The 19,274-nt window shown below is 42.3% G+C and overlaps 1 protein-coding gene across 2 annotated transcripts in view, besides 1 other annotated feature; it reads left to right on the top strand.

Annotated features, from left to right (window-relative positions):
• The window catches only part of AKNAD1 (AKNA domain containing 1), a 42,344-nt gene that overhangs the window by 1,531 nt on the left and 21,539 nt on the right, over positions 1-19,274 (top strand). For both annotated transcript variants that reach the window (NR_049760.2, NM_152763.5), the window contains 6 exons: positions 3,947-5,042; positions 7,138-7,177; positions 7,654-7,802; positions 7,900-7,962; positions 13,447-13,580; positions 19,008-19,164. Coding sequence is in view for 1 of the 2 variants with exons in the window: in NM_152763.5 (NP_689976.2) it covers positions 4,050-5,042; positions 7,138-7,177; positions 7,654-7,802; positions 7,900-7,962; positions 13,447-13,580; positions 19,008-19,164 (1,536 nt within the window). In the remaining variant the exon portion in view is untranslated. The remainder of the gene's footprint in view (positions 1-3,946; positions 5,043-7,137; positions 7,178-7,653; positions 7,803-7,899; positions 7,963-13,446; positions 13,581-19,007; positions 19,165-19,274) is intronic.
• Positions 10,273-10,567: a silencer, noted in NCBI's record as "tiled region #12963; K562 Repressive DNase matched - State 8:EnhW". NCBI's record gives its function as "represses a minimal TATA promoter and a strong SV40 promoter by Sharpr-MPRA in K562 cells {active_cell/tissue: K562}" and the evidence as "EXISTENCE:reporter gene assay evidence [ECO:0000049][PMID:27701403]".

The following is a 19,274-nucleotide window of genomic DNA, read 5'->3' as shown; positions in this document are numbered from 1 at the left end:
GAGAGAGAGAGACAGGGTCTTGCTCTGTCACCCAGGCTGGAGTGCAGTGGCATGATCTCTGCTCACTGCAGCCTTGACCTCCTGGGCTCAACTGATCCTCCATCTCAGCCTCCCAAGTTGCTGGGACTACAGGCATATACCACCACTGCTGGCTAATTTTTAATTTTTTTTTTCTTTGTAGAGACAGGGTCTTGCTTTGTTGCCCAAGCTGTTCTCAAACTCCTGTCCTCAAGGAATCCTTCTGTTTTGGCATCCCAAAGTGCTGAGATTACAGGCATGAGCCACTGTGCCTGGACTTTTTTTCTTTTTCTTGAGAGCCAGAGCAAAATTCAAATTTTATCAGTTTTAATTAATTATATTTTAAAAGTGGGAATTTGGCCAACAAAGTATCTTTCCTTTCTATACAAGAAGGGTATGGCGTTTGGCAATGAGCTCCTGAAAATGTAAAGAAAGCATGAGGATAACTTTGGGACTGATACTTGGGTCATTAAAAGTCTTGCAAAACTAGAATTTGTTTTCTTCTTCTTCCATTCTCTCTGTAGGCATTTAAACATACTCTCAGGCCAGGCACAGTGGCTCATGTCTGTAATCCCAGCACTTTGGGAGGCTGAGGCAGGTGGATTACTTGTGCTCAGGAGTTCGAGACCGTCCTGAATAACATGGTGAAACTCCATCTCTAAAAAAAAAATTAAAAATTAGTCAGGTGTGGTGGTGTGCGCCTGTAGTCCCAGCTACTCAGGAGGCTAAGGGAGGAAGATCAGTTGAGCCATGGTGTTGTCACTACACTCCAGCCTGGGTGATAGAGTGAGACCTTGTCTAAAAAAAAAAAAAAAAAGATACTCTGTTTTTTTTTGTTCTAAAAAATTAGACAATATTTTGTTTAAACTTGCTTAGTGATTTATTTATTTATTTATTATTTTTTATTTTTTTGAGACAGAGTCTTGCTGTTGCTCAGGCTGGAGTACAGCGGCATGATCTCGGCTCACTGCAACCTCTGCCTCCCGGGTTCAAGTGATTCTCCTGCCTCAGCCTCCCAAGTAGCTGGGACTATAGGGATGCACCACCATGCCCAACTAATTTTTGTATTTTTAGTAGAAATGGGTTTTGCCACATTGGCCAGGCTGGTCTTGAACTACTGAGCTCAAGTGATCCACCTGCCTCAGCCTCCCAAAGTGCTGGGATTACAGGCATGAGCCACCTCATCCAGCCTGATTTTTTTTTTTACCTTCAAATATATTTATTTACAGATTGAGTTTTAAAATTGTCTTAAAGTTCTTGTAGAGATTATGTCTTTTTTGTTTTGAGACGGAGTTTCACTCTATCGCCAGGCTGGAGTGCAGTGGCGCGATCTTGGCTCACTGCAACCTCTGCCTCCCGGGTTCAAGTGATTCTCCTGCCTCAGCCTCCTGACTAGCTGGGACTACAGGTGTGCGCCACCACGCCCAGCTAATTTTTTGTATTTTTAGTAGAGACGGGGTTTCACCATGTTGGCCAGGATGGCCTCCATCTCTTGACCTCGTGATCCACCTGCCTCGGCCGCCCAAAGTGCTGGGATTACAGGCATGAGCCACCTTGCTTGGACGAGATTATGTTTTACATATGCAATTCCTTCCTTTATCCTTTAAATATCCCCACGGATAAGGAGTGCCTCACCTCTGGACCTGGGCATTCTTCAGTATTCCAATACTGAGACTGGTTTTGTTTTTTCATTTTTCAACAACAATGTATGGAATTCTTACTCTGTGCCAAGCCCTATGCCGAGTACTTTAGTGCCTTATTTCAGGTATTGCTAGTCCTATTTCTCAGAAAAGGCAACCGAGACTCACAAGAGTTAAATAACTTGCCAGATGACACACAGCTAGAAAGCAGAGAAGCCAGAGTATTCAGATCCATGCCTCTCCACTTCTGCTTTCCCACTGTGCCTTTCACTTTCTTGGGAAGCCTTTTCCCTTGTTCTTCAACTTGGATTAGAATAGCCTGTAATTCTTCTCATGAAGACATGCCTCACTTTATACTAAATGTTACCCTCTTTAAATGATTTAAAATAATCCTGCAGTGATATTCTCCTTTCTCTCCACCTCTCTAAACAGAGCATCTGTTTAATTTGGGTTCTCTAACATTGGCATGTGTCTATAAATTAAGATTTTTGTACAATGTCTCACAGATGCTTTTACCACATTTAGTTTGTACTCCTTTTTTTCTTGGACGACTTAGTTCAAAAAAATTTATTTTGGTCAAACATATGATTTTAGCTTTTGAGGTTACCTAATAAATCACCAGCTTATAGACTCATAAAAATTTGGTTGGAGAGAGAACCTCAGAGATCTGCTCACCCAACATAATCATTGTATGGGCAAGGGAGGCTGCCAGCAGCTGTGGTCACCCTGGGCTGGTGCTCCAGGGGAGAGGGAATCTCAGTTACTCTACTTAAAACTTGAGATTACTACTTCTGAGGAATCATCCCAAAAGTTCACAAATCAGGAAGAGATATCTGAATGGGTGCTTTAAATTTTGTTTAAAAAAGAGAAAATAGGACTCATACCAAATGGCAGCTGGTTTTACTCCAGCCATTTTCAGGAATATCCCCAAAGAGTCTGGTACCACCAGACCGCCGCCTGGGCTGTGGTGGCTGGCAGGGGTTGTTCAGGGAAGGCAGCCTCTCTGACTAGGTTCCTGCCTGAGTCCAAATTAGAAAAGGGACATTTGGCTGCAGACTGGCCTCCAGGTGTTTGAAAGCCTATTTGTCCCTTGGTCACATTTCTTTTTTTTTCTTTTTTTGAGACGGGGTCTCTCTCTGTCACCTAGGCTGGAGTGCAGTGGCTTGATCTCGGCTCACTGCAACCTCTGCCTCCCAGGTTCAAGCGATGCTCCTGCCTCAGCCTCCCAAGTAGCTGGGACTACAGGTGCTTGCCACTACACCTGACTAACTTTTTGTATTTTTAGTACAGATGGGGGTTTCGCCATGTTGGCCAGGCTGGTCTCGAACTCCTGACCTCAGGTGATCCGCTTGCCTCAGCCTCCCAAAGTGCTGGGATTACAGGTGTGAGGCACCGTGCCCGGCCCCTTGGTCATATTTCTGTAAGTCCTTCTCTGCCCTTCTCAGACATGCAAGGGAAAGTCAGGAGAAGGGGACCAGAAGGTCTGGAGGGACAGGTGAAAAGGCACCAGAATGGAGAAGGTGGGTGTTACATGTGAGCTAGGCCAGCTTCCATCGCCACATGGCTTAGAAGACTGTCAGTGACACGTGGACAAGGCGTGGCTCTGGTAGTTAAAAAAAAAATCAGGCCGGGCGCGGTGGCTCACGCCTGTAATCCCAGCACTTTGGGAGGCCAAGGCGGGTGGATCACGAGGTCAGGAGATGAAGACCATCCTGGCTAATATGGTGAAACCCCATCTCTACTAAAAATACAAAAAATTAGCTGGGCGTGGTGGCGGGCACCTGTAGTCCCGGCTGCTCGGGAGGCTGAGGCAGGAGAATGGGGTGAACCTGGGAGGTGGAGCTTGCAGTGAGCCGAGATTGTGTCACCGCACTCCAGCCTGGGCGACAGAGCGAGACTCCGTCTCAAAAAAAAAAAAAGAAAAAAGAAAAAAAATCAATCCTTTACTTGCATCCCAAGTTCCTACTTTGGGAGAATAAACTCCAAATACTATCTCCTAAGGGAGGTTGATAAGTATTTGGCCATTAACTGTAGACTAATGTCATCCTCAAAATTTAATAAATGAAAAATGTAACACTCTCTTTTTTTTTTTCCCCCATTCCTTGCTGTTATTCTACTGATTGTGTTAACATAGTGTGGATTGAGGTTGGGTCAGCTTGTGGTTGAGCTTCCTGCCTTCCTGTTTGTAACTGAATTTTTCAAATTAAAAAAACATCCACTTTGTTCTGGCATAGTTGTATACATTATTCCAATATATTTAACAATGAGGCTGTTCTCATTTCACACAGAATAGCACACAGTGAAGACAGTCAGTGAGAACCAGAGCTATTGTTACAACTGACAGCAGCCAGCTCAGGAGGCAGAGGACGAGAGCGATCGGGCTGCACACACATGGATGAGGCTGATTTTTCAGAACACACGACTTATAAGCAGGAGGATTTGCCTTATGATGGGGACCTCTCTCAGATTAAGATAGGCAATGATTACAGTTTTACCTCAAAAAAGGATGGCCTTGAAGTCTTAAATCAAATTATTTTCATAGCAGATGACCCTCAAGAGAAGGCTATGCATAGTGAGACTTGTGGAAATACAGCTGTGACCATACCCCTGGGTAAAATTACTGAAAATGCTGCCAACAAAAAAGACGAGAAAGAGAAACAATGCACTGCAGCTCTTCATATTCCAGCAAATGAAGGAGACGCTTCTAAGTCAAGCATTTCTGATATTTTACTTCATCATCTTTCCAAAGAGCCATTCTTAAGAGGTCAAGGCATTGATTGTGAAACCCTCCCAGAGATCTCAAATGCCGACAGTTTTGAAGAGGAAGCTATTATTAAAAGTATTATTTCATGTTATAATAAGAATTCTTGGCCAAAAGAACAAACCCCAGAACTCACTGACCAACTCAACCCGAAAAGGGATGGTGAAAACAGCAATAAGCCTGGTTCTGCCACCACGACAGAGGAAAATACCTCTGATTTAGAAGGGCCAGTGGCTGCTGGAGATAGCAGCCATCAAGAAAATGTGAATGTTCTAACTAAAACCAAGGGTCCAGGTGATAAACAAAAAAGTTATCAAGGGCAGTCACCCCAGAAACAGCAGACTGAAAAAGCAAATTCAGGCAACACGTTCAAATACGGCCAAGGTCAAGTTCATTACCAGCTCCCTGATTTCTCTAAGATTGCTCCCAAAGTGAAAATTCCTAAAAATAAGATAATTAATAAACCACTTGCAATAGCTAAACAAGCCAGCTTTTCTTCCAAGTCGAGAGATAAACCCACTCTTGTGCAAGATAGTCTAGAAACCACGCCTGAGTCAAACTGTGTTGAAAAACAACATCAAGAGCAGAAAGGGAAAATCACTGAACCTTCACAACAAATCCAGGTAAATGAAACAGTCTCCTGTAAACACATTAATTGGGACCACTGCTTATCTCTTTCAGTGTGGGTTTTTGGAGGGTGAATAGAGCTTGGTTCTAGTTCCAAAGTTTCATTCAGCACCCTGGGTCACCCTGGATGAGTGACGTGGCCACTCCGACTCTCAGTGTCCTCACGAGAAGCATCACAGGCTACACTGACAAAAACATATAAGAGAATAAAATCCAAATTCCGCAAGCCGGAATTTGGCTCTCCTCACTTAAACTTAGCTGCCTTCCTTCAGGAGTCATCTGCAGTTACCTGGCTGGTCCAGAACCTCTTCCCAGGCCCTGAGCTCTCTGAGTTCCTGCCTTGCGTGGCACATCCCATCTTGACTTGCCAAAGACCTGCTTGTTTTCATGGCCTCCTTCAATTCCCCCTTGGGCCACATAACTTTTCAGGTCTCCTAAGTCACAACCTTTTCCACACTTGTTTAGTCGTTCCATCAGAGTGTGTATCTCAGCCTGCTTTGGATCTTAATAGCAGAAGCATCTGCTTCCTCCACTAGATTCTAAGGCTCTGGAGGGCAGCAACCTTATCTTCGCCTTTCCATTGCCTAATTTCCCCCAGAGGCCTGGCCTCGTGTCTTAACGTACGTTATGCCCTTAGTTATTCATGCTAAGTCCAATGGAATTAAGATCGTTAGTAATGGATTTCAAGCTTGTTATCTTGGTAATCATTTGGTACAAAACTTTGTTAATGCTTAATTTATGCTATTCCCCCTTTCCCTTACGCCAACTTCTCACACTCCCCCACCAACTTCTCAACATGCTGAGGCTCAGGATCTCATTGATGTTTGAGGCCCAATAGTAAGGTAAATCCATCTTAATAATCAAAATATACATTTTAGTTCTTGGGCACTTTGCCTAGAGTGCATGATCTTTCCTTTGAGCCTTATATGAAGGTGTCCTGGACTGAACCACACTGCCTGTTTCCATTTCCATTCTCTCTCTTTTTCTGTAACCTAACCTTGGAAGTGATTTTTCTCTCTCTCTCTTTTTTTTAATTTCCATTTCCATTTTCACACTTCAGCTCCCCTCTCTTTCAACTGAATGCCTGGGGAGTTTGAGCAGAACCCCCTACATCCAAACCTGAGCCAACAGCCCACCTGGCCATGACTGGGATGCTCTCTAGGTCTGAGAGAAACCTACACCCCCGTGGTATTGGGAAGTGTCGGGGTTCCTTGTTCTGCTTGCAGGAGAACATCCTCATTGTGTCCAGTTCTCAGTGCCCCGTGGTTAGCAGGAGCAGATGGATATCAGGCTCTTCTCCCTCTGGTATGGGGGTTCGAGGTCAGGTATCTGATTTTTTCCAGTTCTGTCAATTCAGATTGGAGAATTGGACACTGCAGGTTTCATATCCGTCATATAGTTGAGATGTCTAGAAAGACCATAGTCCATTTTGACCAGCTCTCCAGCACTAGCGTGTTTCTGAGCTTTATGTGTTGGGAACAAAGGAAAGACCCCACAAGGTGAATCACTCTGGAATTTAAACTGTTCAATTAGCCAGTGGTGAGTAGAAAACCATCACTATCTTGACACACAGTTTGGAACTTAATGCATCCTCTGTTATTCTCTAGAGTGTGGCTACCATGAGTTTTGTGTTAGTGACAGCACCAGCAACAGAGCTGGTGACAAGACCAGCCATGGTCCCTACCCTTGTGAAACTTATAGTCTAGTTTTAGGAGAAATGTTTCAGCATTTCACATACCAGTATCAAACACAATGGTGATAACAGGTAACATGTATTGTTACATGCTTACCACCTGCCTGATACTATGGTAGATATTTAACATTTCATCCTCATAACAACCCCCTGAGGCAGGTTCACTTACTATCCCCATTTTCCTGCCAAAGAATTGCAGGCTTATAAGTGATGAGACAATTACTTGGGTTGCCCAGCAAGTAAGTGTCAGAGTGGAATTCAACCTTGGCATCATGGCTCCGGCTCTTGACTGCAAACCTGGGCTCCCTCTATGATGACAGAACATGTTGGGTCATTCTGAACGGTGGTGTCATTGATCAATATCGACAGTAACGTTTTCTTACCCTTTAATTGTGCAGATGGAGCCCATAGTACATATCCACCAAGAACTTCTCACAGGTACTAATGTTTTAAAACTTCTTTGAGATATATATATATGTTTTGTTTTTGTCTTTTTGAGACAGGGTCTCACTCTGTCACCCAGGCTGGAGTGCAGCAGCACAATCTTGGTTCATTGCAGCCTTGACCTCTGGGGCTCAAATGATCCTCCCACCTCATCCTCCCGAGTAGCTGGGATTACAGGTGCATGCCACCACACCTAGATAATTTTTTTTTTTTGTAGATGTGGGGTCTCACTTTGTTGCTGAGGATGGTCTTGAACTCCTGGCTTCAAGTGATCCCCCCGCTTTGGCCTCCCAAAGTGCTGGGATTACAGGTGTGAGCCACTGTGCCTGGCCTAGATAAATATTTTGAAAAAAATTAAATTTTAAAAATAGTAAGTGGTGGTGACTGCAACAGCTTTCTGTTTTCAGTACTTAATAAAACTGTGATAAGTTGAGATGAATGGTAGCCCAAATGTGTTCTTTCTTGTATAGGAATAGAATCTGAGGCAAGTCTCTCTAAGTTGTCACCAACCTCTCAGAAAGGCACTTCCTCAAGTTCTTCTTACATATTTCAAAAGATATCCCAAGGGAAACAGATGTGTCAGAAGTTGAAAGAACAGACTGATCAACTGAAGACTAAAGTAATACTTTTAAAGCTTATTATAAACAATATAAGTAACCAAATTCACACATGAGAAACCATGCCATTAATGAGAGATTGTAATTTTTTCACTGCAGGTACAAGAATTTTCCAAAAGAATAAAACAGGACTCTCCTTACCATTTGCAAGACAAGAAGCTGGTAATGAATTTTATCCCGTTTTTAAAATCTTGATTAGAGAATATGGCTTGGATAAAGATAAATAACTTTATAGTGCCATGTTTTCTCTACAGTGGTGGGAGTGGAAATGTTTTGCTAAAGATTAAACCATCTTTGTTTATGGGGGCTAAAAGAGCTTAGAATTCTGTTTCTCTATCTATTTAGCCCTCTTTCCTTCTCAGGGGATCTATTACTTATGGCTATTACTCCTTGCCAGGTTACTCATAATTAATCTGACACCACGGGAGGTTCAAGAGAAGAACCCATAATCAGTTATAAAGAGTGGGCCTGTCCGCAGTTGATGGGTACTGGTGAATTCAGGTTATAAAAATTGCCATTACCTGGAAATTAAATATGACTTTGAATACTCATAAAATCAACCTTGAAGCAATGTTTTTCAGGTCAAAATCTTTTCCTTTCATATCCTTGCTAGTTGCTGCATTTAATCAAACCATTAATTTATGTCATCACCACAGCAGTCATGTTGTCAGTGCCAGGATCATGGGAAGGGGGTGGAGCAATGGGGTGAAGGGTAAGGCTGGGAGAACCAGAAGTATGCTGACCTGACATTGAAGATGTAGTTGAGGCCATTGGCTCATCAACAAGGGATAAGGTCAGAAGTTCTGATGTAGGCACAAGCAAGGTTTAGGGAGGGCTGTGCTTCAGAAACCTAGCAGCATGGACAAAAACCAGGGGACCCAAATGCTAAAAGACACAGTTGATTATTCTCTCCTTTATCCTGTTAATTAAATCATTCATTCAACAAACATTTATCAGGCACTTTCTATGTCCCAGACCCTGTACCAGGCACTAGGAATTCAAGATGAATAAACAATTCCTTTTCCAAGTGGTTTATAGTCTCTTAGGAACAGTGGACTGGTAAACAGGCAGCTAAAATGCAGCTGGAGAAATGTTACAGAGAATGCTAATGGCAGCCTAGAAGAGGCTCACCTTTGCCAGTGAGGGGACATTTGGAAGGCTTCCTGGAAGTCACTTCTGAGCTGGGTGTTGCAGAAGGAATAGGGATGAGCTTGGCAGGAGACCAAGGGGTATTCTAGAAAAAGAAAACAGCAGGTGCAATGGCACAGGGGTGAGGAAGTGCTGCCAGTGTGAGGAGCTGTGGGCACTGTGATTTACCATACAGCACTTGGGAGCACGTGGTGACATGGGGGTGGGGGAGGAGACAGGGGAGGTGGACAGGGGTACTTCATGAAGGCCTTTAAGCCATGCCTGAGGCTGAGTAATTGGGCAGCATTGAAGGTTTTTTTTTTTGTTTTTTTTTTTTTGAGACACGGTCTCATTCTGTCACTCATGCTAGAGTGCAGTGGTGTGATCTCAGCTCACTGCAACTTCCACTCCCCAAGTTCAAGTGATTCTCCTGCCTCAGCCTCCCAAGTAGCTGGAGTTACAGGTGTGCACCACCGTGCCTGGCTAATTTTTGTATTTTTAGTAGAGACGGGGTTTCACCATGTTGGCTGGGCTGGTCTTGAACTCCTGACTTCAGGGTGATCCACCTGCCTCGGTCTCCCAAAGTGCTGGGATTACAGGCATGAGCCGCTGCACCTGGCTGCATTGAAGGTTTTCAAGCTGACAAATGGGAAGCACCATGGGGGCAAGGCTGAAGGCACAGAGATTGGTTCGGAAGCCAGAATCCAGGTAACAAGTCAGGAGGGCCTGAACGAAGGCTGGCAATGAGGCTGGAGATGGGGACAAATCTGGGGGTTTAGGGAAATGGTGGCAGATGGAAAGGGCTGAAGAGAGGAAGGGAAGAGGCTTGGATGAGCTCCAGATTTCTGGCTTGGGTAACCAAGGTCAGGAATAAAAGTAGAGGATCCCGTTTAGAATGGGTGTGGAAGGCAAGCAGGAGGCAAGACGTCAAGTTGAGTTTGGGGCATTTTGAGTTTGAGCTACCTTTGGGACATCTAAGTAGAGGGCTCCAGTAGGCAGTTAGACCAGTGGATCTGGCCTGCAGAGCTGTTTGGGTGAGAAATGTAGATTTGGGCATAGTTGTGAGTTGACGCTGGAGTGGATGAGACGGGCCAGGCAAAATACACAGAGTGAGAAGTGAAGAGGGCCCAGGAGAGACTCGAGGGAAATGGCAGCTGGGGAGGAGCGGAGGCGGAGAAGCCAAGAGAAAAGGGGGTTTGAAGGAGAGGGGAGTGGGCCCAAATAAGAAGTGCATTGGATTTGGCAATCAAGATGTTATAAGGGTCTTTGGCAAGCCTGGTTTTGATTGAAGTGGTGGATCTGGAAGCCAGATTGCAGGGATTATGGAAGAAACAACGATAAGCAAGATCTCCAGAAAGCTAGGATTTCAGGAATTGGAAGAACACAGAATTTTAAAGGGCTGAGCAGAGCAGAGAAAACTGGTTCTGTCAGGAGCCTTCGGAAGCCTGGATGCGGGAGGTTTCTTCCTGATGTTATCAGGTATGTGAGGATCCCTGCTGACCGAGAGGAGAGTAAAGGTGGCTCCTGACATTATCAGCCTGTGGTCTGGGACTTCCAGGCCCAGGTGGTTCAGTCTTGAAAAAAGCCAGACAGGGCTACAAGCAACCGCCTCAGCCTGAGCAGCACTACACAGCAGAAAGCATTTGGATTTTGGAGCGGATGTCGTGCCTCTACTTATTGGTTACACAACTGTAGACATGTTACAGCATGTCTTCCCTTTCAGAGTTGTTATGAGAATTCAGTGAGGCACACTTCTGCCTAGGAAATTGTGCCCTATCTTCTGCAACATAATGCAATTTAAATTCCAAGATCCTGAATTATAATTTGTGATTAGCTTTTATCTCTTTTCTCATTACCCTCTTTCCCTTGAACACATAATTCTTCCTCATGGCCTCAGCTGCCATCTTCAGGCTTCCAGTTCGTAAGTGACTTGTCCTGACTTCTCATCTATAGCTCCAAATGTTTGTGTCTCTCTTCACTTCGGACATCCCACCCTCACTGCAAACTCTACCTTGTCCAACATCAATATCTTCGAGCCTGTTAGCCTTTCCAAATTCCCCAGTTTAGTCAGGTCTACCACATTCTTCTCACTTCCCAAGCTGAGAAACTCAAGCATTGTCTGTGAGATTTACAGTGTCAGTCAGGGTTCTGGCAGGGACCAGATGGTTACTCAAATGGGGCAACGGAGGAGAGTTTAACAAAGGCATTAGTTTACAACAGTGTGGGCAAGGCTAAGGGAAACCAATAAGGGATGGAAAAGCATCTCCTGGAAGGACCCGTGGGGAGCTCCCCTTTGGCCTGAAGGAACAGAGGAAAAGCAGGTCCTAGAGCCTAAAGAGAGCAGCTGTCACTGTGGGACTAGCTGACAAGCCCTGTGGCTTTTGGTGGAGGGACAGAGTCAACTCCATGACGGCACAGGTGAGGAAGAAAAGACTCCCATCTCATCCTCCAACTCCTCTCTCCTGCTGTTGCCTTCCATCGACTAAAACCAACCAAAGCCAGGGCCCAGGGGAGCCTGTGGTGCAGTCCATTAAAGGTCAGCACAGAGAAAGAGGATGAACCTGGGGAGAAATGTAAAACATCTGCCACACCTGCCGCTTTTTATCTACCCTTTAGCCAATATGTTTCCAAACTCTTGTTTATTCATTTTTAATATTAATAAGAATTGGCTGGGAGTGGTGGCTCATGCCTGTAATCCCAGTACTTTGGGAGGCCAAGGTGGGTGGACCACCTGAGGTCAGGAGTTTGAGACCAGCCTGGCCAACATGGTGAAACCGCATCTCTACTAAAAATACAAAAATTAGCCAGGCATGGTGGTGCACACCTGTAATCTCAGCTACTTGGAAGGCTGAGGCAGGAGAATTGCTTGAACCTGGGAGGTAGAAGTTACAGTGAGCTGAAATCACACCACTGCACTCCAGCCTGGGTGACAGAGCGAGTGACTGTCTTAAATTAAAAAAAAAAAAAAGAATTAATAATCTGTCAAGTATGTACTATAGTCCTGGCACAATGCATTATCTCATTTAGTTTTTATAATATGAGGCAAGGAGTATTACCTTAATTTTACAGATGTAGAAACTGAAGCTTAGAGAGTTCAAGTTTACTAAAATCATACAATGAGTAAGTGACAGAGTCTGAACTTGCACCCAGCTGTGTCTGATCCTGTAACCTCACCGAGCTATGTTTCTGTCCTGGGCAACCTCTGTCCAATTCATCCCTTCCTCTCCATTTTCATGGATACTGCCTGGTCCAGGCCCTCCAGAGCATCCTTTATGCCTGATTTAAGTTGCACTCCTTCCACTGGGCCTTGGCAAAGGTCTCTCTCTCTCTATCTATCTATATCTATATATACATATATAGATATGCACTCCAGAGCTCTGGCTTTGGTATATATATATATATATATATGGAGAGAGAGAGAGAGAGATGGAGTCTCGCTCTGTTGCCCAGGCTGGAGTGCAGTGGTGCAATCTTGGCTCACTGCAACCTCTGCCTCCTGGGCTCAAGTGATTTTCCTGCCTCAACCTCCCAGGTAGCTGGGATTACAGGCACGCACCACCATGCCCGGATAATTTTTGTATTTTTAATAGAGATGGGGTTTCACCATGTTGGTCAGGCCGGTCTTGAACTAATGACCTAAAATGATCTGCCCACTTCGGCCTCCCAAAGTGCTGGGATTATAGGCATGAGCCACTGTGCCTGGCCTTTGGCTAAGTACTCTAAGCCACAGTCTCTTTTCTCAATGGAATAACATCTCTAAGACCAGGAACTGTGCCTGATGCAATTTTTTAATCTCACACTTCTGGCCCAGGGCCAGAAATAGAAAGTGCTCAGGGAATGTTTAGTGACTGGGGATGTGGAACTGAAGCCTCCATACATCTTCAACATGCCCCTAACCCGCACAGTTTAAACATTCATCTGCTTGAGGCTGCACGTAGTGATGTCTGGAAGACCCATTCACAGCTTTGGCTAAATCTTCCTGCTGTTCCTTCCCCATCTCATCCTCCAACTCCCCACAGACTGAAACCCAGGCCATGTAACTACAGTTCCTTTTTAAGATCTATGTGCCTTCAGACATATTGCTAGAGCTCCAATTTCCTCCTTTGTAAAAGTGGGATAATAAAATATACTTTACTACATTTACAACATTGATGTGTTGATTAAATAAGATGAGGAATGGAAAAATGCTTTGTAAGCTAAAAACCATTCTGCAAATATACAGGATTATGAATGTCCCACTAAGGAAGGCCAGAGGCCTCTGAGTGGGTTCTGAGAGAGAAATCAGAAGTAATTGTACTTTTGAGCTGTGTGCTGTGAGGGTTTGTGAATGTTGAGATGACCCTTGGGTTGTCTGTAGTTTAGATGTCAGACTCTGAGACAAAACAATTTATGCTGCTGGGAGAAGGATGGCAGCTTTGTTTTGACACTACTGTAGGGTACACCTGCTTTGTGTTTTTGGGAAAACAATTACACACACAGGCTTGCATGTGAATGATTCCAGTGACTTCACCGCTGCAGGTCCTGGAGAAACTGCAGGGACACCTTGAACTGCTGGAGCAGAACTTTCTGGCCACCAAGGACAAGCATCTGACTTTGCAGCAGCAAGTCCACAAGCACGAATCAACAATCGTTGGTGACTTTGATCCAGAAAGGTCAGATTTAAACCAACTGTGTAAGGTGGAAGGGTCAAAGGTGATCTCCTTCAGGTGGGATTCTGATGTGGCTGCTGGCTTAGTGCTTGGAGAGCCACTGGTCTAGGGTCAGCAGAAACTGTGTCACCAATGAACAAAGTGTCACCTAATACCACAGACAGCATGGAGGACCTGTTGAGTGTAAGGTGCTGTGCTGGACATTGACTCAGATGGAACACCCAAAATGAACAAATGCTTCCTGGGGCAGAGGCATTGTACCAAAATTTTGCAATTTGTTGAATATCATTATAATTGGTTTGGAGACCCAGAGGAGCCTAAGAAAACCCTAGAAAGGCTCACATGATAACCACAGAGGGCCCTCTTCTCAAGTTCCTCCTCTCCTCTCCCTCTCAGCTTTTTCCTCTCTTATCTATCTCTCCCCACACCTGCCTTTATTGTCCTTGCCTGGTTCTCTCTTCTGTCCCTCTCTTTCCCCTTTTCTTTCCCATTCACTGATAATTCCAAGGCACACTGGGCAGGAGGGGGTCATTGTAAAGTTAATTGGTGTCAGGGTGAGGGACCTACAAATCCTGATAAAGGAAAAGCGTGAAAGCTTAAAGTTAAATGATTTCTGAGTTAATTCACATTAGAATCTTGAACACACACTCCAAACTGAAGTTTCTAACTGGTAGTTTTTATGGCACTGTATTCTCCTTTCTCCATTCCAGATAATTTTAAGCTGTATTCCAGGACTCAAGGAGAGGATTCTTTCCCTATAATTTCCTGGTATAAATTAAAAGAAACTATTTAGTAGGCTTAATATTTGTGAGTTTAGCCCTTTCTATTCATAGCATTTTAATATGGAATTGTTGTTGCCAAATTTTTTAATGGTTTACATTTCAGCCCTAGCGTTCTGTGGCATTTTTTTCCCCAAGGTATGGTTTTACTTTTCCAAAATTAATGGAACCTCTGTCTACCTTTATTTCAGCACTGAGTAATTAGACAGTAAGGATGAGGTTTTAATATTGATTTTTTTCCCAAAGGCTTTTTTTGGGGGGAGAGGAAGAAAGAACTCTGCATGCTTCTGCTATTTAAAATTAATAGAGTAAGGATATTTATTTTCCAAGGAATCTTCTGCTTGGGCAGTCATTTTAAAGACAGGTTTCTGTGCACATTAAGACCAAAGTTATTCAATGTCTTATTTATATCCTAGTTACAGCCACACTGTGCCTGGCATGAGTATAAATAAAAAGAGCTTCAACTGCAATTACATTCCATATATGGGAGAAGCTTTCAACACTGGGGCAAGGGAGGGACCCAGACTTTCCCAAATCTCGGCTGAAGTCACCTCAGGACAGGCAAAGACTGATCAGCTCCAGAATAGTCCCCTTGTTCTCAAATGGGCATAATGTGACAAGGAACAGAATCCCATACAACCCTTGGGTTCTTGATATGTCGAGAACCTTATAAGTGTTGAGTCCAAAGGCTAATGCAGAGGGCTTTCTGGAGGGGCAAGAATTCTGCAAATTCATTGACTAGTCCTTTGTTTACATCACCTGCTGTGCTCTTATTAAAGCCTTCTCATTATTACCTTTACAAGGTAATGTGCAAAAATATTTGCTTGGATTTCATGCATCTTGCTTGTCAGAATGTAGTCCAATAGTAATTTGCTTCTTTCACATATTAACTTCAGAAGCCAAGAATTCAAGAAATGGGGTTCTACCTTCATCAGCCACTTCTCCCTGAGAGTCTCAGCATAAAATCTTATGTTCTGCTTTAAAGAAAAGATCACAACTTCCCTCAAAAATGTCTCTTCTATCTCCAAATCCCCATGTTTTCACCTCCTCTCCCTTCCTTAGTCTGCTCTCCAACCTCTCTAGCCATGGTCCTTGAACCCATCCCTTTCTACTTCCTTGAGGCCTTGCTCCATCATTTTATTTCTTTTATTATTATTATTTTTATTATTACTATTATTATTATTTGAGATGGAGTCTTGCTCTGTTGCCCAGGCTGGAGTGCAGTGGCGCGATCTCGGCTCACTGCAACCTCCACCTCCCAGGTTCAAGCGATTCTCCTGCCTTAGCCTCCAGAATAGCTGGGATTAAAGGTGCATGCCACCATGCCTGACTAATTTTTTCATATTTTTAGTAAAGACGGGGTTTCACCGGGTTGGCCAGGCTGGTCTTGAACTCCTGACCTAAAGTGATCTGCCCACCTTGGCCTCCCAAAGTGCTGGGATTACAGGCATGAGCCACCGTACCCGGGCTCATTTCTTTTAAACTTTCAGTCTCTCCTTGTCCCCTGTTTCATTCTCTTCTGCCTGCAAGATCCCAACATAGTTTCCTATATTTTATTCAATTATCACTTTGTTTTTTTCATGCTTAGATCTTTGTCCCACCACTTATTGAATAGGGCAGCCTTTCCCCACTGGTTGAAAAAGCCCCTTATATCAGATACAAAACCTCCACATGTATACAGAACTGTTTCTATTCCATCCCATTGATCTATGTGTCTATTTCTACATTATCCACATAAACTATTATAGGTTAGTGTATATTTAGAAATGTTTCTTCTTTTTAAAATTTTCTTATAGCTATTCTTATACACTCATGTTACTAATAAACTTTATAATCAGCTCACCAAGGTTCTTAATAAAATTTCATGAGGATTTTGCTTAGGAATGTATTGAATTTATAGGTTAGATTGGGAAGAACTGAAATCTTTGTAGTAAGTATTCCCATCACGTTTTCTTCATGCAGATTTTACACATTTTTTTGTTAGGTTTATTACTAGCTATTTTATAGTGTTCTGAGTATTGTCGACAGATGTTTTCTCTAATTGATGTCATAGGAAGTATTTCCATATTGTATATTTAACTTGTACTGGGCTACCTTATGCAATTCTCTTCTTAGTGTTTTGTTGATTTTTTAGTTGATTGTCTTAATTTTTAAGTATGACAATCCATAGCATCTGAAAATATTAATAAGCTTTTTACTCCAGAATATTTGTATTGTACTTTCTTTTCTCTCCAATTCTTATCTATCTCATTTCTTTTTCTTTATTTCATTTGCTAGGTTTTCCAGAACAATATTGGATAATTAATATTAGTGAAAGACAGCATTTTTTTTTTTTTCAGACAAAGTCTCACTCTTGTCCAGGCTGGAATGCAGTGGCACAATCATAGCTCATTGCAACCTCAAACTCCTGGACTCTGGGATCCTCCCACCTCAGCCTCCTGAGTAGCAGGGACTACAGGTGCATGCCACCACTCCCAGCTAATTAAAAAAAATTTTTTTTGTAGAGACATGGTCTCCCTATGTTTTCCAGGCTAGTCTCGAACTCCTGGGTTCAAGTGATACTCCCACACTGTGGTCTCCCAAAGTGTTAGGATTACCAGCGTGAGCCATAAAAGACAGCATTCTTGTCATGTTACTAATAATAATGAGAACTCTCCTAAGTATGATTCAAATAGATAAGCTTCATCAAGAGAGTTTTCTTCTATTCCTAGCTTTCTAGAATTAGGGCTTTTGTTGTTATTTAATTCAAGAAAATGTTTAATCAAATGGGATTTAGAAATCTAGTTTTTCTCCTTTAATCTATTAATTTAGTGGAATATGTTAATAAATATACTAACGTTGAACCACAGAATGAGTTGGGCAATTTTCCCTTTTCTTTTTTTTTTTATTGAGACGGAGTCTCGCTCCTCCAGGCTGGAGTGCAGTGGCGCGATCTTGGCTCGCTGCAAGCTCCGCCTCCCGGCTTCACGCCATTCTCCTGCCTCAGCCTCCCAAGTAGCTGAGACTACAAGCATCCGCCAAGTTTTCTGTATTTTTAGTAGAGACGGGGTTTCACCATGTTAGCCAGTATGGTCTTGATCTCCTGACCTCGTGATCCACCCACCTCGGCCTTCCAAAGTGCTGGGATTACAGGCGTGAACTACCGCGCCGGGCCCCTTTTCTTTTCATGTTCTGGAAGAGTCTAATAATATAGGACTTATCTGTTGCTTAAAAGTCTTGGTAGAATTATGTTTAGTGAACTCCAAGGTTCTATACACGTGCTTCGGGGTCTGCATATACTTGATTTAAATTTCTCCTTTAAAAATATATGTTGAAATATATGCTTTCAAACTGTTATAAATTACATTTTAAACTATGTAATACATAAAAATTAACATATTAGAGACATTGAAATTTTTTTTAAAAGGCTTGGTAGAACTCACCCATTATCCCACTCTTCATGCCTTTCATGGAGTAGATTTTTAACACTTTCCATTTTTCTCTGGTTGTTGGTCTTTTCATATTTTCTACTTTTTTAAAAGTGAATTTTAATAATTTATATTATTCTAGAAACTTGCCCAGTTCACCTAAATTTTAAATGGTGTTGATATGGATTTTTCAATGCCTTTTGATTTAAAATTTTTCCTATTTTTCCTTTCTCATTCTTAATGTTATTTGTTTTTCAGACTTCCAGTGGTTTGTTTCATAGATATTTTGGAAGAAAACATGTTTTATCTTATTGATCAAATTCTTTTAAGTCTCATTTATTTCTAGTAATTTTATGAATCCTTTTCTGTGGTTTATTTTATATTCCCTTTTCTATCTTCCTATTTTAAATAGTTGATTGATTTTTGATTTTTTCCCCCAATAATGCATTTAAGACTAGAAGTTTTCCTCAGAGTACTGCTTTAACTGCATTACATTGGTTTTCCTATGTTATTCTCTCATTTGTCATTGACTTGTAAGTTATGCCTAACATTCATTTTTATTTCCTACTTAATCCAAAGCTATTTAGGTATTAAAATTTCTAATTAAACAGGGTTTTTTTTGGGGGGGGGGCTATCTTTTTGTTGTTAATGTCTAGTGATAAGAGAATGTAGGTAGTATAATTTTTAATATTTTGGATTTTCTTGAAATTTTCCTTTGTGGACTGTTACGAGGTAAATTTTTATAAATGTAATGGATTTGAAGAAAATGGATTCTCTTTGTTGGGTAAAATATATATTTATATACACATACACATATATTCATATGGATTAGAACTTGTTAATTAAATTATTCAGATATCTAATATTCTTCCTCTTTTTAAATTAGCATAACAAGTAATTCCATAGAATCACAGTTCTTAGAATCCCTTGTAAGGGATCTCAAAATCATCAAATCCAGATAAGTAAGGTACAATATTGTTATCCCAGGTTATAAGTGAGACATTGGAGGCCCAGAAATACTAAGTGATTTATACAAGGATACGCAGCTAATGGACAGCAGGTGAAGATCAGAGCCCAGGCTGTCAGAGAAACTATGAACAGTCATGCGGGCTCCCATTATCCTTTGTGACAGAAGACAGGCCACATTAATAATATAAATCAATGCTGTATTCAAGAACTGTCATTATTAATTAGAATGCCAACCACATAGCCCAGAAGATGCCTGTGTGTTTATGTTTACTTAGAAAAGTGGAAGGTGAAATCTTCAAATTGGAGATGCTGCTTGAAGATGTTAAAGAGAAAATGGATGAAAGCAAATATACTTCAGCTCCTTCCCTTCCTGTGAGTTCTCCAGTTACCCTGGATGACTTGGCCTCCACCTTCTCTTCACTCTCAAATGAGGTAATACAGCAATGTACAGTCTAATTTTGTGCCAGGAAAAATGGTGTTTTTGCATTTATAGACTCCTAATTCATGGATTCACTGAATTCCATTTTTAATATCTCATGAAA

This window comes from Homo sapiens, chromosome 1 (assembly GCF_000001405.40).
Source record: "Homo sapiens chromosome 1, GRCh38.p14 Primary Assembly".
NCBI lineage: Eukaryota > Metazoa > Chordata > Mammalia > Primates > Hominidae > Homo > Homo sapiens.
The sequence above is the reverse complement of the archived record's forward strand: the minus strand, read 5'-3'. Positions and strand labels throughout refer to the sequence as shown.